General features: G+C 35.0%; 1 protein-coding gene and 1 pseudogene across 11 annotated transcripts in view; one reads left to right on the plus strand and one right to left on the minus strand.

The window, feature by feature from the left end:
* The window catches only part of CHD1 (chromodomain helicase DNA binding protein 1), a 75023-nt gene that overhangs the window by 22746 nt on the left and 30206 nt on the right, over nt 1-22071 (minus strand). For 10 of the 11 annotated variants that reach the window (NR_157079.3, NM_001376194.2, XM_047416670.1 and 7 more), the window contains exons 9-23: nt 21934-22034; nt 21526-21704; nt 20463-20590; nt 19496-19712; nt 17867-17956; nt 16686-16876; nt 15795-15983; nt 12346-12508; nt 11358-11510; nt 8848-8919; nt 6358-6507; nt 5245-5393; nt 4549-4645; nt 4346-4441; nt 2822-2998 (exon numbers count right to left, since the gene is read on the minus strand). Coding sequence is in view for 9 of the 11 variants with exons in the window: in NM_001376194.2 (NP_001363123.1) it covers nt 2822-2998; nt 4346-4441; nt 4549-4645; nt 5245-5393; nt 6358-6507; nt 8848-8919; nt 11358-11510; nt 12346-12508; nt 15795-15983; nt 16686-16876; nt 17867-17956; nt 19496-19712; nt 20463-20590; nt 21526-21704; nt 21934-22034 (2152 nt within the window). In the remaining 2 variants the exon portion in view is untranslated. Of the gene's footprint in view, nt 1-2821; nt 2999-4345; nt 4442-4548; nt 4646-5244; nt 5394-6357; nt 6508-8847; nt 8920-9866; nt 9897-11357; nt 11511-12345; nt 12509-15794; nt 15984-16685; nt 16877-17866; nt 17957-19495; nt 19713-20462; nt 20591-21525; nt 21705-21933; nt 22035-22071 lie in introns of all 11 variants that reach the window. The other variant, NR_157078.3, reaches the window with a different exon arrangement.
* RNU6-402P (RNA, U6 small nuclear 402, pseudogene) lies at nt 13001-13103 on the plus strand (annotated as a pseudogene).

Raw genomic sequence — 22071 nt, forward strand, 5'->3', positions numbered from 1 at the left:
TTTTGATTTAAAAGGTAATCAGACATTATATCAAAAGCCTCCAAAAGTTATTCTACTGACGCAGCAACATAACCTCTAGGCATTTTTCCTGAGGAGATCAGAACTGTGAAGAAACATTGATCAATAAAGTAATTTACATCATAAAAGAAAAATGTGGCTGAGTGCAGCAGCTCATGCCTGTAATCCCAGCATGACTGGGAGGCCAAGGCAGGAAGATAACTTGAGCCCAGGAGTTCAAGACCAGCTTAGGCAACATAGTGAGACCTTGTCTCTACCAAAAATTTAAAATATTAGCCAGGTATTTTTGTAGCATGCACCCGTAGTTCCAGCTACATGAGAGGCTGAGGTGGGAGGATCATTTGACCCCAGGAAGCTGAGGCTGCAGTGAGCCATGACCATACCATGGCATTTCAGCCTGAGCAACACAGTGAGATCCTGTCTCAAAAACAAAAAGCAAATAATCTAAATATTCATCAAAGAGAGACCAGACAAATCTATACGATAGAATGCTGAGACACCATTAAAAATGGGGTTGTAGAATAATTAACATTCATGACATACTGTCAAAAAGAAGAAAAAGTTCCAAATTAATACAACTCCAACTTAATTTGGCAAATGATAATGAATTTTTAAAAATTAGAATGATGTACACTGTGATAATGTTATCAGTCCTATCTCTGGATGAACAGATTGATTAGCTGTCTTTTTTTCCGTTCTGCTTAATATCCACATATTGCTATTCTAACTAGACAAATCAGATATTTGAAAGAAAAAAATGCCAGTTGAACCCACATAAAAGGCTATTTGTAACATCCATTAATTTTAATAAGATACATCAAAACATATATTCTGTAAGTCTTGGGAGTTTTTCCAAAGCCTTGGCACATATTCCGAACCTCTAATATGCTGAAAGTTAAATGAAGTAAAAAATGGTATTTAGACCTTTTTTTTCTAACCTCCCTTGATCCTTTCACAAGATCTAATGCAATGCTGCATTCTCACACACTCTAAAACAAAACTACTTAGGGGTTTGGAGAAATAAACAGAAACAAGAAATAACATGCATGGTTACTTTCAGGCCAAAAGCATTATTTTTGGCTCTACTTCTGGCTGTTATGTAGAAACTTGGTAGGGGCACTGCTCCTACTCTAACAACAAATCTGATGTACAAAATCATAATTTTTCTGTTTAACATCAGAGAGATGAAATCACACGGCAACCTACACATCTAAATGTAAGGATATACAGGAGATTACAAAAAGAGAAAAAGAGGACTTGAACAGTGGCTCATTTGTGAAGAACACAGGTGACAGAAATCAAGTACCATACAAGCAGGTAAGAGGAGATCAGCTAAAATCTGCTAATGGCTGAGTGTACGCTATTGTGAGATCACAGGACCTAACAGCCAAAACTCGGAGGACCTGCACCCACTCTCAAGCACTTTGCCACGAACTTCCACCAGGTGCTCATGAGAAGGAAGACTGGAGAAAACTTTCCTCCATGGTACAGCCTTGGAGAAAGTGAGCAGTCACCTTTGTGGAAACAGGAAGGAAGCCTTGCCAGACCTTTCCCATCTGCTCAACTGAGGGAACAGAATAAGATCTAATACGGTTGCAAGAAAAGAAAAAACAAAAAGCTCTACCCTTCGGGGAATGGTAGCAGGGCAGGGACTAGAGTGGGGCAAGCCCCTCATTTGCCCCAGGCTTAAAATTTAAGGAAGCACGAAAAAACTCAGCAATCAAGACAAAAAATCTTATATCCTAAAAACCAAAGGATACTAGAAAAAGAAATTAGTCTTAGAATTTTTTTCCTTTTTGGCAATATAGCTTGGCATGGCACTATTACAGTTATTCAAAATTTTGGTATTTGTTTACTTAGGCCACTGAATAAACACCAACAAATTTTTAAAAATTAAAATTACATAAAATATGCTTTCTGAACATGACAGAATTAAACTACCAATGATTAACAAACATAGTTGAAAAATTTCCTAAATATCTGAACATTTTAAAACATACTTCTAAAAAAACCTGTGGGTCAAAGATAAGTCATATGGGAAATTTTAAAATGTTTTTAAATTAAGGAAAATATAAAAATAGATTTGGAAGATTCAGAAAAAGTAACGCTTAAAGAAAAATTTGTAGCATTAAATGCCGATATTAGAAAAGAGAGATTACATTTCTATATCTAAGCTTGCACCTTAAGAAACTGAATAAAAGAGGCCAGGTGCAGTGGCTCGTGCTATAGTCCCAACATTTTGGTAGGCCAAGGCAGATGGATCACTTAAGCCCAGAAGTTCCAGACCAGCCTGGACAACATGGTAAAACTCCATCTCTACAAAAAGAATACAAAAATCAGCTGGGTGTGGTGGGACACACCTGTAGTCCCAGCTATTTGGGAGGCTGAAGTGGGAGGATCATCTGAGGCCGGGAGGTTAAGGTTGCAGTGAGCCAGAATTGTGCCACTGCACTCCAGCCTTGGCAATAGAGCAAGATGCTGTCACCAAAGAAAAAAGAAAAGAAAAGAAAGAAAACAGCAAATTAAATCAAAAGCAGAAAGGAAGAAATAATAAATTGTGGAAACTCATGAAATTAAAAACACACACACACACAAAAATCAATGAAACCAGGAGCAGGTTCTTTGAAAAGATGAATAAAAGAGGAAGAAACACTTCTCAACTCATTTCATGAGGCAAACATTATCAAATCAAGGCCATTACAAGAAAAGAAAACTATGGACTGATACCTCGTAGAAACAAACAAAATCAGCCCAGGTTGAATACTCTTACTTTATAGAAATATCTTTAAAATTGCAAAATCACCTGTTTTGCACAATTTCTCATTCTTGGGAGCATATAAATTTCTTCAAGTTCCTTTTGTCTTTCTTCTTCTTCTAATCGTCTTCTTTGATCTTCTGGAATAATTTCCTCCCAATTCTTTGAATTTCTTTCAGGTTCCAACTCAATGTCATCCTCATCCATATTTGAGAAGTTGGCAACCTGATAAATTTCAGAATTTTAAGAGTAACTGTTACAGAAAAATTGATCCCTAAAAGTTTTTTTTAAGGGGAAGAACTGGCATGCTCCTTAGGATAATGAACATGGCTGTGGACTAAACCAAATATAACTTCTAAACAACCTAGATTCATTTCTTCATTAGGGCAAAGCAGATCAAACCAAATGACATCTAATAATCCTCTAGGAATGATTTTATTTTGCCCTACTGCTCAACAAAATTAGTAGCATCACAGAACTAAGAGCAGTTAACAGAACAACAAAAAAGTAATTTATACTATTAACATGCTAAATAATCTGCAGAAATTCTCAGACCAGTCCACCTATCAAGTATTGTAGAACAATCTAATATCATTTTTATGGTCACAAAAACACTATCTAAAGAGCTACTGGCAGAGACATAGAGCTCTTTGAGAGCACACTAATTTCTGTGAGGATTACATAAGATAGCACATTTAAGGTACTATGCAAGGTCTGGTATACAGAAAGCACCCATTAAGGCTAACTATCACAGCCGGGCGAAGTGGCTCACGCCTGTGATTCCAGAAACCTTCACCTCTTAACCAGGATTACTCAACATTCTGTCTTATCTCCCCCTGCTATAGCTCTTTCCTCACTACAGTCAATCAACCACAAAGTAGTCAGAATGATTCATTAAAATTATAAAAGTTTTTTATTCACTGTGTGGGGTACACTGTAGGTGTTCCATAAATATTTGTCAAATGAACACATGAAATGAATTGATCTTTAAAAACCACAGTTCAGAGAAAACAGCTAAGATGTAGAGAAACCTGTTTCTTCAAACAAATGGCACTTAACTTACTCCATGAGGTCAGTTGACTTACGTTGTTTTAGGACTCCTTTCAACTCATTGACCCTCAACAAACCAGGGATATTAAGTATCAATATATAGTAGCTTATTGCTTACTTTGACTGATTTACTTGAGTTTTCTTATTTGTGATAAGTTAATGTCAAAAACTGCTTCAAAAAAATATCAGCTGAAAGCTTTCAGTCATGGAAATCTAAGTAAGAGATCACACTGATTCATTTATTTACCTAAGTATTTAAGGACATGCTATTTGCCAAACACTATTCTAGTTGCTAATTAGGAAACAACAGCTCTTTCCACCCAACTAAATGTAACTTCATAAATGGGTTTGGTCTCTTTCAAATCAGTTTGCTACTGGTTTGTCTGAACAAGAGAGAGTAGTTTTTACATAACACAGCAATCTTCCTGATTATGCTTAAAGAAAGATTAACAAACCACTAAATGACATAACTCAATTCCTCTCAATTTATGTAATTACAAGGAAAATTTTGTTTAAATCTACCTTGAACTGGGAAAGCAATTCATCTCCTACAGTTAAAGGACCTGGTTCATTTTCATGAGTTTCAGCTCTCTTCAAGATTTCATCTATATCCATTTCCTATAATTAAAAAGACAATATTTAAATATACTTGAATCCTTTCATCCTGTCAAATATATGACACATATTCTGAGGCAGGCCTTTTTTTTTTTTTTTTTTTTTTTTACCTGGGGCTCTTGTTCTTCTCCTTCAGGTTCCTTAAAAAGTTCTTCAGCACCAAACTTTAAAATGGCTGATAACTCTTCTTTATTGAAAGGAGTAGAACTAAAACAGGAAAAACAAAAATGCTTAACATTAACAGTTAAAAATATAACAGTTACACAGCACTTTTATTAATTACTGACATTTTCACCTTTACAACAGTTACATGAAGAAGTTAGACAAATCAAGTATTAGAATCCTTTTTTTTTTTTTTGGAGACAGTGTCTCCTTCTGTCACCCAGGCTGAAGTGCACTGGCACAATCTTAGCTCACTGCAACCTCCGCCTCCCGGGCTCAACTGATCCTCCCACCTCAGCCTCCTGAGTAGCTGGGACTACAGTTGTGTGTCACCATGCCCAGCTAAGTTTTTTATTTTTTGCAGAGGTGGGGTTTCACTATGTTGCCTAGTGCAGTATATTTATTTTAAAATAAGGAACTTGAAGCATAGAAGTGAAAGAGATTACCCCTAAAATTACAAATCTGTAGCGATGAAACCAGGTATTTGAAGTATGTCTTCTAACTAGAAATTAGTCCAAAGTCTTCCAAAATATAAAAAGTACAACTCTGAATACATTTCCTCAATGATCTACAGTGATGTAACATATCAAAAATATGAGTTTACTGACTCTAAAATGACATTTTTTTAATAATCAAGTAACCACCTTGATGGGGCAGAACCTGTATGTAGTACTGTCTTCCCAGTTGTGTCCATTCTTTGAATTACAAGATGATCTAAAACCATCTTCTTTTTCGCCCTTTCAAGAATATCTTCTTCAACTGATCCCTTTGTAACTAGACGATAAATATTCACCTGTAAAAATACACATGAGGAAACAAATTGCAGTATAAAGGATTTGTTTTGCTAACCTCAAGTGCCTAAACACTGGCACACAAATTGAAGCTCATTCTATATGAAGTTTTCACTGGTTAAAAGCAAAATGAAAATTTAAAAAACATGTTTAAAGCTAGAGTTCCTCAACTTAAGGGACTATTTTGAAACTATATCCTTCCTTCCTTCTTAATATTTTGATAAGGAGATTGCATTTGCTTATTTTTTTTTAAAGGAATGACAGTAATTTTTATGTTATGATTTAGCTGGGGAAAATGGGGGGGGGGCATGTAAACTTCTGATAGCCTTCTTATACTCGTTGCCTTGATTCTAATGTTTCATCACTCTATATAATGCAAAATTCTATGAACTACTCCCCAAGTTAATAAGAAACCCACCATAAAACAAACTCTCCAAAATTGAAAAGAATTGGTGTAGTAAATTTTCCCTATTTCTCTAGGTCAAAGATTCTGCAGTAAATTTTCCCTATTTCTCTAGGTAAAGGTTCAGTACCACCATTTAAGGGTATGTTGTTACAATTATAAAATGGGGTCACGTTTACATGTGGAGAATCTTGTAAGCACATGGACAAAATATAGACTAACAGAAAGGTAGCATATGCTACTCAAACTCCCTTTCAAGTTAAAATAAGCAAGTAAAGACGTTTTAAAGTTTTTATTATAAAATGAAAAACACTGCATTTTATAGTTACGACTAGAATACGGGATCAAAACAGAATACATGATCCTATATATGCATAGTTATCTCAATTCTGTCAGACTCTCCAGGTGATTTTGGTAAACCAAGCTCCTCAGTATCCTATCGGTTAAACAGTAGTATGACTGTTACAGTGATCTTATCCTCTAGAGGATAAACTGAAATCACTTCCAAAAAAAAAAAAAGAATTCTAAAACAGCAATATAATATAAATTAAAATTAAAAATACCTGTTTCTTTTGCCCAATTCGATGGGCTCTAGCCTGTGCCTGAAGATCATTCTGTGGATTCCAATCGGAATCAAATATAACAACAGTGTCAGCAGAGGCTAAATTAATCCCTAGACCTCCAGCTCTTGTGGACAGCAAAAAGCAAAAATCCTGTAAGAAATTGAATAATCAAAATGAAAAATTTTTCAATTGATTTTCTGAACGTAAGCAGTATGGTACTAATTAAACAGAAAGGCAGTTTTTAAAACTAATAAACATCTAGCAAGACCAATCAACAAAAAGACTCCAAAATCAAATATATATGTTATTAACACCAAATTCAATACAGTGTTTACTTCTGGTGAAAAAGAAAGAAAACGGGATAGGAAAGGAATGACACTTCAACTCTAACTGTAAATTTTATTTCCTTAAAAAATAAAAGGCATATACCAAAAAAAGAACTCTATGGAAAACAGCGTGGAAATTCCTTAAAGGAACTAAAAGTAGAACTACCACTTGATCCCAGGAATCCCACTACTGAGTATCTGCCCAGAGCAAAAAAGTCATTACATGAAAAAGATACTTGTACACACGATTACAGCAGCACAATTTGCAACTGCAACAATGTGGAACCAGCCCAAACGCCCATCAATCAACAAGAAGATAAACTGTGGTATACATACACAGTGGAAAACTACTCAGCCATAAAGAAGAATGAAATAATGGCATTTGCAGCAACCTAGATGGGATTGGAGACTAAATATATATATATATATATATATATATATATATATATTTTTTTTTTTTTTTTTTTTTTTTGACAGAGTCTCACTCTTTTTATCTTGGCTCACTGCAACCTCCACCTCCTAGGTTCAAGCAATTCTCCTGCCTCAGCCTCCCGAGTAGCTGGGATTACAGGCAGGCACTACCACACCCAGCTAATTTTTGTATTTTTAGTAGAGATGCGGTTTCACCATGTTGGCCAGGCTGGTCTCTAACTCTTTGTTTTTTGTTTTTTTTTTTTTGAGACGGAGTCTCGCTCTGTCACCCAGGCTGGAGTGCAGTGGCGCGATCTCGGTTCACTGCAAGCTCCGCCTCCCGGGTTCACACCATTCTCCTGCTTCAGCCTCCCGAGTAGCTGGGACTACAGGCGCCCGCCACTACGCCCAGCTAATTTTTTTGTATTTTTAGTAGAGATGGGGTTTCACTGTGTTAGCCAGAATGGTCTCGATCTCCTGACCTCATGATCCGCCCGTCTCAGCCTCCCAAAGTGCTGGGATTACAAGCGTGAGCCACCACGCCCAGCCTGGAGACTACTATTCTGAGTGAAGTAACTCAGGAATGGAAAACCAAACATTGTATGTTCTCACTTGTAAGAGGGAACTAAGCTATGAGGATGCAAAGTAATAAGAATGATACAAAGGACTCTGGGGACTCAGAGGGAAAGGGTAGGAGGGGGTGAGCGATAAAAGACTACAAATTTGGTTCAGTGTATACTGCTCAGGTGAAGGGTGCACCAAAATCTCACAAACCACCACTACAGAGCTTACTCATTTAACCAAATATCACCTGTTTCCCAAAAATCCACGGAAATAAAAAAAATTTTTTTTAAAGGAAAGTGGGCTACTTTGTTGTTTTTGGGTTTTTTCTTTCCCTTTTTTTTTTTTTGAGACAGAGTCTCACTCTATTGCCTGGGCTAGAGTCTAGTGACATGATCATGGCTCACCGCAGCCTCAAACTCCTGAGCTAAGTGATCCACTCAACTCAGCCTCCCAAGTAACTGGGACTACAACCGAGTGCCACTATGCCCAGTTTATTTTTTTTACTTTTTATTTTTATTTTTTTTTGTACAGACAGCAGTCTCACTGTTTCCCAGGGTGGTCTCAAACTCCTGGTCTGAAGCGATTCTCCTGCATTGGCCTCCCAAAGTGCTGGGATTACAGGGGTGAGCTACTGTGCCCAATCTGGCTAATTTATTTTGAAGCAAATTAAAATAACTGTTCCATGCTGAAACATTATTGATAATAAAGAGTAAAATTCTTGGCTGGGCGCGGTGGCTTCATGCCTGTAATCCTAGCACTTTGGGAGGCTGAGGCAGGTGGATCACCTGAGGTCAGGAGTTCAAGACCGGCCTAGCCAACATGGTGAAGCCCCATCTCTACTAAAACTACAAAAACTAGCTGGGCACAGTGGCACGCGCCTGTAATCCCAGCTACTTGTGAGGCTGAGGCAGGAGAATAGCTTGAACCTGGGAGGCAGAGGTTGCAGTGAGTTGAGATTGTGCCACTGCACTCCAGCCTGGGCCACAGAGTGAGACTCTGTCTCAAAGATAAAATCCTTAGGTTTAAACTAGAATAGTGACTTTAAAACCTCATTTGCTAATCAAAGGTGGCTAACACCACTCTTTTTTTATCAAACTAGATATGAAGATTAAAAATGTCTGAATATAATAATGTAATATACTGATACTAAATCAAAATTATTTATAATTTTAAAAGCACTAATACATACCTCTGATCCCTCAGCATTAAAATGATCTAGAGCTTGTTTCCTCAGTTCTCCTTTTATTGATCCATCTAATCTCTAGAAAAAAACACATTAAAATACTGCATAAACAGAATCAAAGTATTACAAAGCAATTAAAATCAATTATAAAATTAAGTAGAAATGTGAAGCATGTCCTTTGCTAAAACTATAATAGAAAGTACTTACTAGACAGTAAAATAATGCTCAGGCATTCTGTCTTTAGTCTGTGCTCCAAATCACTAAGACTGCACCCTCAAGAGTAAATACAGCATAGGCTGTCATACTATTCTGCCTGAGTCCCCATTCTAAAAGTATGTGATTGAGTACATAGCTGTTTGCAAACACCTGAAACAGTTTCATATCATGACATGATATACTATGTTATACTCTCATGTTTTATCATTTTACTTTCAAAATGTTGGTGCAACCCATTAAACTGATTCACAGATCCATTAACAGGTTACAATTCAGTTTTAAAAACACTGATTAAGTCCAGCGTGGTTACTAGAACAGCATTAGTGTCACCTGAGAACATAGATAAGCAAATTATTGAGTCCTACCCCAGACCTACTGAAGGTGTTTAGCAAAGGCCATCCAGTTAATTCTGATGCACACTAAAGTTTGAAAATTATTGATGTGAAGCATCATGGGTTCTAGTCAACAGCCAGCAAATGAGTATTTTATTCACTTGGTATCTTGAGCAAGTGATTTGACTTTTCTCCACAAACTTTTTCACCATGTCAGTTCCGCTTTAAACAAAACAGACATAATAGTAGTCCCTCCTTCATAGACTATAGAGAACTCAGTGAGAGAACACAGGAAAACATGTAGCACAGTGCCTACAACATACTGAACGCTTATTAAACATTAGCTGCTATTTCACTTTAGAAATGGCAATGATTTTATAATTATTAACTGGTTATAGACTAGAAATAACTTGTCTACTATGATCCATGCATTTAACCGACGAATTAAACTAGTATTTTGGGAAGCCATATGCCTACCTTTGCTTTGTTACTATATGAATTTTAACTCTGCGAAGAAAAAATATAAACATTTTAAATGATGTATTCTAAGTGGTTTAAATGAAGTGCTCTTAATTATCACCTACTCAAAGTAGGAAAACATGTCTATTAAAGTTTTAAAAAATTAAAATAATTTTTCTTTTCCACTAAAATACATATTAGTACAAATTTTAAGAATAGTGGCATCTCATTACTGTGGCATGACCTAAACCAAATAAAATTAAAAATTATTCTCTCCAGGAAGTGACCTAGGAATGAGAAGGAATTAGCAACAGAGAAGTGGCGCTTATTAACACTCAAAATTAGTCAAACTAATTTTTTGTTTGACTATGTACACAATAATTTGTTTAAAAACAAATCAACACAGGGCAGAAGAGGAAGGCAAATGGAAGGACAAGAGGAATAGCTAAAGGCTACAGGTTCTTTCTGATGAAAATGTTCTAAAACCACCTGTCGAACAATTATACACATCTGTGAACATAGTAAAAACCACTGAATTGTATACTTTAAATGAGTAAACTGTATGATATGGGAATTACGTATCAATAAAGGTGTTTTCAAAAACCTCAACTAATGGTACTCTTCTACGTTTTCCCCTAAATGACTGCAATTATTTCTCAATGATATTCCTATCACCAAATACCTGTCCTTCTTCACAACACTTACCAGAATTGTAATGTTACATTTATTTGTAATCACCTGCTTGATGTCTGTCTCCTGTAAGAGATGATAAGCTCTGACAAAGCAGGGATTGTGTGTTCAGTCCCATTATTATAATTTTACTGCTATTTTACTATCTGCACTAAATATACAGCATTTACTAGCTGTATCTACATAATGTCTGCTATGTTCCTAGTACTGTTCATAAAATTGCTTTGAGAATTAAGTAATTAGATCTGAAGTACTGAAAACAGCACCTGACTTTAAATACTCATCAATATTAGCTTTAGTTATATTGAATGAACTTCAATATAAATTTTGAATAGATGGAAGGGAATTTTGGTCTTTAGTTTCTTCTGTAAAGTTGTCTAGTTTTACTCAACAAACCCTGTGTCAGATAACTATGAGCACACCAATCATCAGAATCTTGGCAGCATTCACATTCAGAGACTACTGGCTGTTTTCCTCATTCAGATTGAAGACTAAAGGCTCCCCTGCTTTTAGATCTATCCAATCAAGAAAATTCTGCCTTAGTTCAGTTTTTAAAATCTAAAGCAAGCATAGAAGAAAAAGACAGAATTAAAAGAAAATAAAAATCACAGGAAAGGAAGAAAAATTGTTTTGTTGCAATATGTAAAGTCAAGAAAAACCGGGAATGACAAATATTTTTTAAAGCAGATACATCTTTTTAAAGAAAAAGTACAGTTTATATAAAAACCTAAACACTTATAAAATAATTTCAGTTAATTCTGTAAAATATGCACAGGAATTAGATAAAATTTAAAACAACAAATACAATTAAATGCTTACTTGAAAGGGGAATTGACGATATTTCAAATATTCTGCAAGTATATCTAACATCCGCACCATTTGTGAAAAAATAAGAACTCGATTGCCTCGTTCTCTTAGGCGAATTAATAGCTTGTCAAGAAGAATCAATTTTCCGCTACTACGAATTAAGTGCTACAGAAACAATTCAAGTTGTTATATGTTAAAAGACATAAATGGTAAGTTGTCCACGTAACACTTTAGTTGCCTGAATTATTTTAAATTGAGATTTTAAATTTTCATGTTAGAAAACAACTTATTTCACTTTTCAAAATTTTCTAAGACCTTTACCATTTCACTCTATGACTGAAGCTAAAATACCCTTTGCCATATCACACCTAGGTTTTGTTATACTATCGGGGAGGAAAAAAGTACTGTTCACTCTGTTTGCTAGTTACTATACCACAGTGTTTCTCCAAAAATCTTAGCTGAAGAACAATGACATCAGAAGCAGCAGCAACTAAGCAACCAAAGGTTTAAAAAGAGTAAGCAAATGCATTCTAATGTATTAATTCTAGATGCTGATCCTAGCCCTTCAATGCACTACAGTGGCTGGATTGCAGCTGTGCCTTCGCACTTCTGACTTATCTTCCAGAAGTACCAGGAAGGGTTAAGATGTGAGGTCAAGATGTCCTTTAGATTACCATTTACCAAATCACAAATGCAGCACAATTACTATTAACGATTTTTTCATAATTATGAACATACTGTGGGATTTTCTTGCTGGATAAGTTATTATAGGCCATGGTTTGAGAGACCTATTTTTAGAAAATTCATCAAAATAATTACATAAATTAGAATTTTAAAGTCTTTTCTACAAAGATTAATAACTGAGACCATTATAGAAAGGCACCATTAACTAAAGAGAACTTTTATCCAATAAGTTAAAGCATTGAGCCATTTTCGATTGTAAGTGAAATCAACATTTCTAGAACTTTATCACAAAGAAACAACATTTAAAAATTCTTACTTGTAAGGCCTCCTGTTTATTATAGAATTCATTATTATCTGGTGGTTTAATGAGGTAGCAATGGTTACAACATTTCTTTAGCTCCATCATAATGTTCAAAAAGCCTGAGGTACTGCCCTTGGAACCTTTGCTGAGGGCTTTGTAATTCCTAGTTAAAATCCATCTTAAAAAAAAAAATTATGAAAACGATGTTTAGCAGAACAATTACCAGGATAAATTCTAAAAGCATTAAAACAAACAAAAAAAGCCAACGATAGTACCAAAGTAAAACTGTACCGTTATAAAATTCACAGCTGTATATACAACGGACCAAACCTCTTTCATAATACTCATGAGAACACAACTTGTTTTCTGAACCATTAGCTATACACAGAACAGGCTAATGTAACATAATTATTACAGTGTATTAATCCTTTCCCCTCAAATTTGCTAAAAAGATGGTCAGCTGCATTATTTATCTGAATCTTCTTACAACTTTTACTGCATTAGACAGCTAATGAAACTGAATTATTTTGCATGGACCTAAAAGAAACCTGAGGATACCTGGTTTTAGCCACGACTGCCTTCTCTAGATTGCAATTACACAATACATATGTAACTTATAGAAAACATCTTGGTGATATTTTACTACTCCAAACTACATGTAACAATTCCTGTGCTCACTTCGGCAGCATTTATACTAAAACTGGACCAATACAGAGATTAGAATGGTCCCCATACAAGGATGACATGCAAATCCATGAACACTCCATATTTTTGTATATATATCCCATGAATACTACACAGCCACAGAAAAAAAAGGATGAAATAATGCCCTTCAAATAAAATAATATCCATGGATGGAGCTGTAGACCATAATCTAAGTGAATTAACACAGAAACAGAAAACCAAACACCGCATGTTCTCACTTACAAGTGCAAGTTAAACACTGAGCACACATGGACATAAACATGTAACAACACTGTCGACTACTAGAGGGGGGAAGGAGGGGAACATGGGTTGAAAACTACCCACTGCGTACCATGCTCACTACCTGGATGCAATATTACCCATGTAACAAACCTGCACATATACCTCCAGTATCTAAAATAAAAGCTGAATTTAAAAAAGAAAAGAAAAATTTCCTCTCACCATGACCTTTTCCACCTTTTATTTTCTTCCTTTTTACAAGGTCAGTTTTTGAAGGGACTTGAAAGTCTCAAATATCTAGTGTACATACTCTTTTATTACCATTCTTTACCACTAGTTATACAGGCAGTTCCCCAAAACTGGAATGAAAAGCAAAACGAAACCCATGGACAATGCTCAATGCCCTAAGAGGTAATCAAGAATAAAGAATATTTTTCCTTATCCAGAAAAAATTTATTATTAATTTCTCTAGAGGTAAAAATTCTAAGAATTTTTCCAGAAATTTATGGCAGTATCTTATTACCTTAGTTGCCAAAAAGTACCTTGAAGAGTTTAAGTTCAACATCCATGATATATGACTAGCACTAAGAGAATTACAGGTGAATGTGTCTTCTTCCTACTTTGACTTTTCTTTCTAAATATTCTACAAAATGCATTACTTTTTTTAAAGAACCCCATAACAAAATTAGATAATCGCCATTGTGTACTACAAAATATACTCTTCTCATAATTATTAATTTGAATATTATCAAGCACCTACATCTACCTACCAATCTGTAGGAAATACAGAGGATACTGTTAAACTATTTTAGAGGGAAGTACTATGCAAAATCTAGATTGTGGAAAAATTCTACAGAATAACTGTTTTCCCCATCGTATACATTTTAACAAAAAAGAAGTACCTATAGATAATAAACTCAGAGACAAATCAATTGCCATATATGAACCTATCTCAATCCCAATTCGAGTAAACGTAAAAAAATTTTTTGAGACAACAGAGAAAACTTGAACACTGATACTGAATATTGGTATCAAGAAATTGATTCTGCTGAGAGAGCAATAATTTCCTAAATTGTGAAAATTTTAAAGTGGGTTATTTATTTACTTAAGATGGGGTCTCACTCTGTCACCCAGGCTGGAGTGCAGTGGCATGACCTCGGTTCACTGCAACCTCTGCCTCATGGGCTCAAGCGATCCTCCCACCTCAGCCTACCAAGCAGCTGGGACCACATGCACCCACCACCACTCCTGGCTAAGTTTTTTGTATCTTGAGTAGAGACAGGGTTTTGCCATGTTGCCTAGGCTGGTCTCAAACTCTTGAGGCTCAAGTGATCTGTCTGCCTCAGCCTCCCAAAGTACTGGGATTACAGGCATGAGCCACTGGGCCCAGGTGATACTAGTATTTTTAAAAATCAATTATTAGAAATACACAGAAAAATATTTATGGAAAAATTTCCAATCTGCTTCAAAAGGACAGGTACTGAGGGAAATGGGGATGACCAGAGATACATAAAAAGACTGGCATGAGTTGAAAGGGAAGCTGGGGCTGGGCACAGTGGCTCATACCTGTAATCCCAGCACTTTGGAAGGCTGAGGCGTGTGGATCGCTTGGGGCCAGGAGTTCAGGATCAGCCTGGCCAGCATGGCAAAACCCTGTCTCTACTAAAAATAAAAAAATCAGCAGGGCATTGTGGGGCACACCTGTAAACCCAGCTACTTGGGAGGCTGAGGCACCAGAATCATTTGAAACCAGAAGGTGGAGGTTGCAGTGAGCCAAGATTGTGCCACTGTACTCCAGCCTGGAGTACAAAGGGAGACTCCGTCTCAAAAAACAAACAAACAAAAAAAAGAAAGAAAGTGAAGCTGAGTCATGGGTATAAGAGTTCATTAAATTATCCTATTTTTGTATATGTCTGACATCTTCCATAATAAAAATAATTATGCAATTAAGTATATTCTTTCAAATGTATGGCACCTATAGATTTACCATAGAATATAAATGTTTCTGAAACTCCAAATGCATGTAGCAATATATTTCCTTTTATGCAATTAAATGTTTAAACAGATATTAGAACAGATTTTCCTTTCTGATTCTTTGAAAAGTCCTACTGTATAGATCTTGACATACAAAATTTATACCAGCTATGATTTGTTAATACTCTTCAAAAAGCAGCAGAGCCTAAAATTTTTTTCTAAGTTTCTTTTTTTGGCCTCTGTTAATTGTCATAATCATATAATACCTTTATTATTGTGGAAATCCTAACACTTAAACTCTTTATAAGATAACAGTATGATATATAGGAAAGCAATTAATTATGTGTCAGAAGATGAATTACTCAGTGTTGTCACTCATAATTTTGGATATGTCATTAAATCTCCTTTTGCCTCCTAACGACACAGAATAAACTTATTCTGAAACTCGAGAATTGCAACTGCTCTAAGACACTATTGTAGAGAAGGTGGGGGCACCAAAAGCAGGACACAGACATGGAAGGTTTTCAGAATTAGAAGTTCAGAACTGTGTTCTGTGTACAGCTTACTTGTAATATTGTTTCTGTAAAGCACTCATTTCCATTCTTAAAATCTGCTCAACCTTGGCAGGAAGAGATTTTTCCACATCTTTCTTAACTCGGCGTAACAGAAATGGCTCAAGCTCCTTGTGAAGGCTTGCATAACCATATTCTCTCCCTTTGCCATGTTCTTCTTCAAAATCTTCCCAGGAAGAAAACCTTTAAAATTTAAGAAATTGGAACAATTACTAGAAAAAATCAAATTGTGTATGTTGTGTATGAACTTTTTTTTTTAGGGGAGTCATTTATAAACAAAATACTACAGATTTTTAGAAAAAAAAATTAGCTAAACTTAGTTACCTCTAAAAATCTCCCTCCCAAGAAGATGCATGATGAAATATAATTAGTTGTTTTATAAGTTATGATTCTTGAATCAAGTGAATATGAAGTATTTTGAAGTATGGGAGTAATTATCACTAAAATATTTCTCAAAAAAATATACTTTTAAAGTTCTGGACCTACTGAAAGAGAACAAGTAGTGACCTTTGGGAACTTATTTAGCCTTGTCTAGTCTAGTTTTCCTCATTTAGAAAAAGGGATTACCAGCACCTCATTGTTGTTACTCCTACTGTTAAATACAAAGAATGGTACTGTGTTAGTTTTTCAAACAAGGTATATTTTGAAAATGTGCAAAATCAACTGTCGTGATTTATTACACATGGCTTAAGTTTATTAACAAAATTGAAAAATTCAAATAGTATTACAAACTACCTGACCTCATTTTCCTTTTTAAAAAATTCTTAGTAATCTGTGATCTAATCTTTTAGGGCAATAAAAACTCTTACTGACCTTATTACCTGGGTTTATTCCCACTAAACATAATATCCACACAATATGATTAAAATTGTAAAGTTGTCTTACTTTTCTGGCATAATGAAATGTAGCAAAGACCAGAGCTCTTTGAGGGAATTCTGTAGAGGAGTTCCAGTGATAAGGAGACGATGATTGGATTTAAAATCTATTAAAGTTTTATACAGAAGGGAGTCATCATTCTTTAATCGGTGTGCTTCATCAACACCTATAAATGCCCAATTTAGACCTCCAAGGAATGCCTTAAAATAATAGAAAAACAGTATTTTGAGAGAAAAACGGAATTCAAATTTAGCCTTCCCATTTAATCTGAACTCAATTATTAAAATGAAATAAAAATTAAAAACAAACTTTGTCTAATTTTCAAATAAAAAATCGTAATCTCAAGATTACAATACATAAGTAACTCAGCACATATTCCTTCTATGACAAATTTAACCACTAGAATGTAATATCAAGCCAAAGTTTTTATTAGCTTATAAACTGATAATTAACGGAGAAAAATCAGCAGTGTCATTTAAAATTTTTACAAAAGATTTTTAGCCTAACCCCAATAGAAGCCTCTATTAATGTCAATATGAAAAAAAAACTATGACACAAATTCAGAACAGTGTCTTATTCCAAGTGTAGGTACAATTCTTTGTACAACTTTTATGAACTGTAGAACTCTCTTAAACTTAGGTCTCTGAGTTAGAGCAGGCCTGATTCCGCTACTTAAGAGCTGTGTTACCACAGCCAAGTTCATTAAATTCTTTGAGACATTTTTGAGACTGATTTTCTTTTCCATAAAGTAGAGAAAGTGAATATAAAGTAGATGGAGGAATTAAATAAGACAGTATCTATAAAGCCTTCACTGCTTCACACAGTGGTAGCTTAATCCTGTTAGGTATCTTCCTCTTCTTTAAAGAGCTTACAAATCAATACACACTATAACAAACTGGTTTCATTCGATTGAGTTGGCAAGCTTTTTCTAAGAAGAGCCAGATAGTAAATATTTCAGACTTTGCAGATAAATATATGGTCTCTGTTACATATTCTTTCTAAGACCCTTTAAATGTAACCTTTCAAAAAGGTAAAAACCATTCTTAGTTCAAGCACCATTAAAAAAATAAGACCACAGGCTATAGCTTGCTGACTCACGATTTAGGCTATTCTCTCATCTTGTCCACAGCATATGATAAAGAAAAAACTGATATACAAGAGACCAAAACACGTGAGAAATAAATACATACCTTATCTTTTAATAAAATTTCATAAGTTGTTAACAATATATTAAATTTTAACCGTTTGGTCTGATGATGCGTCCATTCATGAGTTCTTATCTATTAAGAAATTTGAAGGACAATTTTTAAGACAAACATCAAGCAAATTATACTTTTACTTACATATCTAAAAATTAAAATCCATTCAAATATGTAAGTAACTATTAATATATGTTTATGTAATAAAAGAGTTTTTGTGGTTTTTTTTTTTTGAGACAGAGTTTTGCTCTTGTTGTCCAGGGTGGAGTGCAATGGCGTGATCTCGGCTCACCACAACCTCCACCTCCCGGGTTCAAGTGATCCTCCTGCCTCAGCCTCCCGAGTAGCTAGGATTACAGGAATGCACCACCACGCCCAGCTAATTTTGTATTTTTAGTAGAGACAGGGTATCTCCATGTTGGTCAGACTGGTCTCGAACTCCCAGCCTCAGATGATCCACCTACCTTGGCCTCCCAAAGCGCTGGGATTACAGGCATGAGCCGGCATGCCCGGCCAGAGTTATTCTTTATATAGTCCAAAATGCTATGTAAATCTTATAAATAAAACATAAATACCACAGCATTTCTTAAAAAACGAAGTAAACACAATTTTAAAGCACATCTTTCACAAACGAAAAGGTCTTATTTAAGAAAACATAAGTGATTAATTCATTTAATAATGTAATGTTTATGGATGAAATATGATGTCTGGGGTTTGCTTCACAGTAACTAGGAAAGTCGTGTGTAGAGGTATAGACAAAACAAAACTAGCAGTAAATTTGTGAAACTTAAGAACATGAGTGTTTATTACATTCTTCTGTCTGTTCTCATGCATATTTGAAATTTTCCATTAAAAATGTAAAATAGGCTGGTATGGTGGCTCACGCCTGTAAATCCCAGCACTTTGGGAGGCCAAGGCAGGTGGATCACTTGAGGTCAGGAGTTTGAGACCAGCCTGGGCAACATAGTGAAACCCCATCTCTACTAAAAATATGAAAATTAGCCGGGCCTGGTGGCAGGCGCTTGTAATGCCAGCTACTTGGAAGGGTGAGGCAGAAGAATCACTTGAACCTGGGAGGTGGAGGTTGCAATGAGCCGAGATCACACCACTGTACTCCAGTCTGGATGACAGAGTGAAAACAAAAAAAAAAAAACCCACCAAAAAAACAGTCAAATATATATACTAAGTAACACTAAACCAAAACTGACTTTGTTACAGTCAATTAAACATGTACTGAGAACTTATTTGTGGCAAGTTCTATACCAGAAACAAAGACTGTTATACAGACCAAAACAAAACAAAACCTCTCATCCTTGTTAGGCCAAGAACGGTGGTTCATGCCTGTAATCTCAGCACTTTGGGAGGCCAAGGGAGGCAGATCACTTGAGCTCAGTTCAAGACCAGCCTGGCAACACAGTAAAACCCTGTCTCCACTAAAAAATATAAAAAATTAGCCAGGAGTGGTGGCGTGCTCCTGTGGTCCCAGTTGCAGTGAGCCAAGATCATACCACTGCACTCCAGCCTGGGAGACAGAGTGAAACCCCATCTCAAAACAACAAAAACACTTGATCTCAAAGACAAGTACATTTTGATTTCTACATTTACAGGGAAACAACTTACCATGTTTCTGCTGTTAATGTCACCTAAATAAACCACAGCATTCATTTGAGAAGCCCAAGTCTGAATTTCCCTTTGCCAGGAAGTAAGAGTGGAGAGCGGTACTACCAATAAAAAAGGTCCATATAATTGATGTTCATGAAACAAATAATTCAGAAATGAGATCGTCTGTATTGTTTTTCCAAGGCCCATTTCATCAGCGAGTATGCAACTATTTCCTCTACAAAGTTAAAAAAAAATTAGCATGCAAGGAAATATTCAAATATACAAAGAAACCTTTTTACATCATGTGTATATGTTTTTATGAAGTTAAATAAAATTGATAGGTATTATATAGAATATACCACTTTTATTAACTACAAATAATAAATGTAAAGGTATCTGGCTAAAGACTTAATCACTAATGCTGTAAGAAAAGTAAAAGGAGATGACCGTTTTGGGCCAGAAGAGGCTTAAAGATTAATAGTATTATGTTTAATCAATTATGAAGCCAATAATGCAATTCATCTACTAGTAGTAGAGTCCAGATATATTAAATAAGTAAAAAGTATATAGGAAGAACACAGATTAAAAAAAAAAACTATAGCTAAATTGCAACCGAGATTCACAAAAGTAGAGTGGGGGCCATAGAAGATAGAAAAAAAATGTAGAAGAGTAAATGGATATTAAAATAACTAGGAAAAAGAGAAATATTCCAGGAATAGCATGGGATGAGAACAGATATGCATTTTGATTTTTAAACTGAATAAAAACATATTTTAAAAAGGCAACAATCAAGTTAAACTCCAACTCCACTGGATTTTCTTCCTAGTATGTAGTAAGTATTGTTTATACAAACTAGGAAATACAAAGACTAGCATATAAACTGCCAAAGAGTCTTATTCTTTATGTAAATGGAAATCTTTTCTGAATCCTGTATTGGTAAATTCTTACTCTGTCAAATTAAATAGATGATTCAAAATATACTTACTTGCACCAAGAATGAGCAAGCCAATTTAAACCATTCAGTTGATAATCTCTTAATTCTAAGCCCTCATGTCCTCCAATATAGGATGGCTGCTTCTTCAGGGCTACAAACCTTGGCCTTTGTTTTAATACCTTTAGTAGAAATAAACATTATTATGTAGAGTTATTAAATATAAGAAATTATACTAAAAGATGAAAGCCTCAGCTTTACCATAAATTCTTAAATTTCATCTCTAATCATCAAGCTCAGAGATTCCATTACTCAAAATGTACCTGAGGATTCAGTCAATACTGTTTTCTACTACTCTACAAAAATGAACAGTGAAATATTTTGCCTTCTTTTTTAAACAAAAATGTATAGAGAAAATTAACTTCCTGCCAAAATATGAGTCTCATGTATTTCACAAGCAAAACCTACGTTAAATTGTTCAAAACCATCACTCCAGCCTTAAGCTACAAACCATAAAACTGGCTTAGCTTACCGTTCAATTTCTGAATTCCAAGTTATCCCTATGAAGAATGTAATTCTTGTAATAAGGAAAGAAAGTCTAGTAGTCCATAGATCTCAACACATCACTAGTAACTCTGGGTAAGTTACAAGGATGCAGAAAGTATTGTGCAAGGTAGTTCTGGATACTTTCCTATATCACTCTCCTTTTTCTCTACCTTCTAAGAAAATATCCACTATCTTTAAAATTGAGCATATCTCTAGTTTCCAAGGGTTTTTTTCTGTTTATTCTCCCAACCCTTCCTGACAATCACCATAACCAACTCATCTTTCTGACATAGTGATGCTCAACAAGATAAAAGACAACACTTAAGAAGATACATTGACGAAAACATCATTTACAATTTTTTTAAGAGAAAGTTTGAAATAAAAAATTATAAAACTAAAACTAAAAAACACACAGCAATTGCAGAAGTTCACTTCCTGTAAGACCTATTAACCAAGAAATATTCTCCCTTAGTCTATCTGAAATCAGGATCCAACTCTTGTATTTAGGCTTGTAAATATTTATAATGTATAAATATATTTTTAATAATTTAAAATGTTAGACAATACTCACTTTGCAATCTTTAAAAGGAGTGGTTTTTGATTGGTTCCTGCTAAAATACTCATCAATGCATGCTTGAAACTTTTTGGAAATGAGAGCTCCATCTTCCCAGCTGCACTCTGAGTATGGAAGGCCCTGCCATTTGCAGTAATAATCAGGATAACCAGCTGCTGACTTTTGATTGGAATGAGCTGTGAGAGAATCAGGCATTTACTTATTTATTTATTTTTTTTTACATTTAATCATCAGATACATAATTCTTAGTAAAGGCTACACAAGTAAAATTTAGCTATCTAGTTTACAATACTGTTTTAGTAAGAGCAAGCTACTGTGTTTGATATGTAAGTGGCAAACTTATGACTTTTTTCAGATTATTTCAAGCATAAAAAGAAAGTTTAACTAGAATCATTTATCACTAACCAATTATACGTTCCACTATTTGATACTGTTTATGTAGATCATCTGTAAGTTCTTGCTGGCAATTATAATATTCCACATCTTCTGGAGAGGCATTTTTCAACCTGAAAAATTATTAATCCAGGAATAGACTTAAAAATC

This window comes from Homo sapiens, chromosome 5 (genome assembly GCF_000001405.40).
Source record: "Homo sapiens chromosome 5, GRCh38.p14 Primary Assembly".
In the NCBI taxonomy this organism is placed as follows: domain Eukaryota; kingdom Metazoa; phylum Chordata; class Mammalia; order Primates; family Hominidae; genus Homo; species Homo sapiens.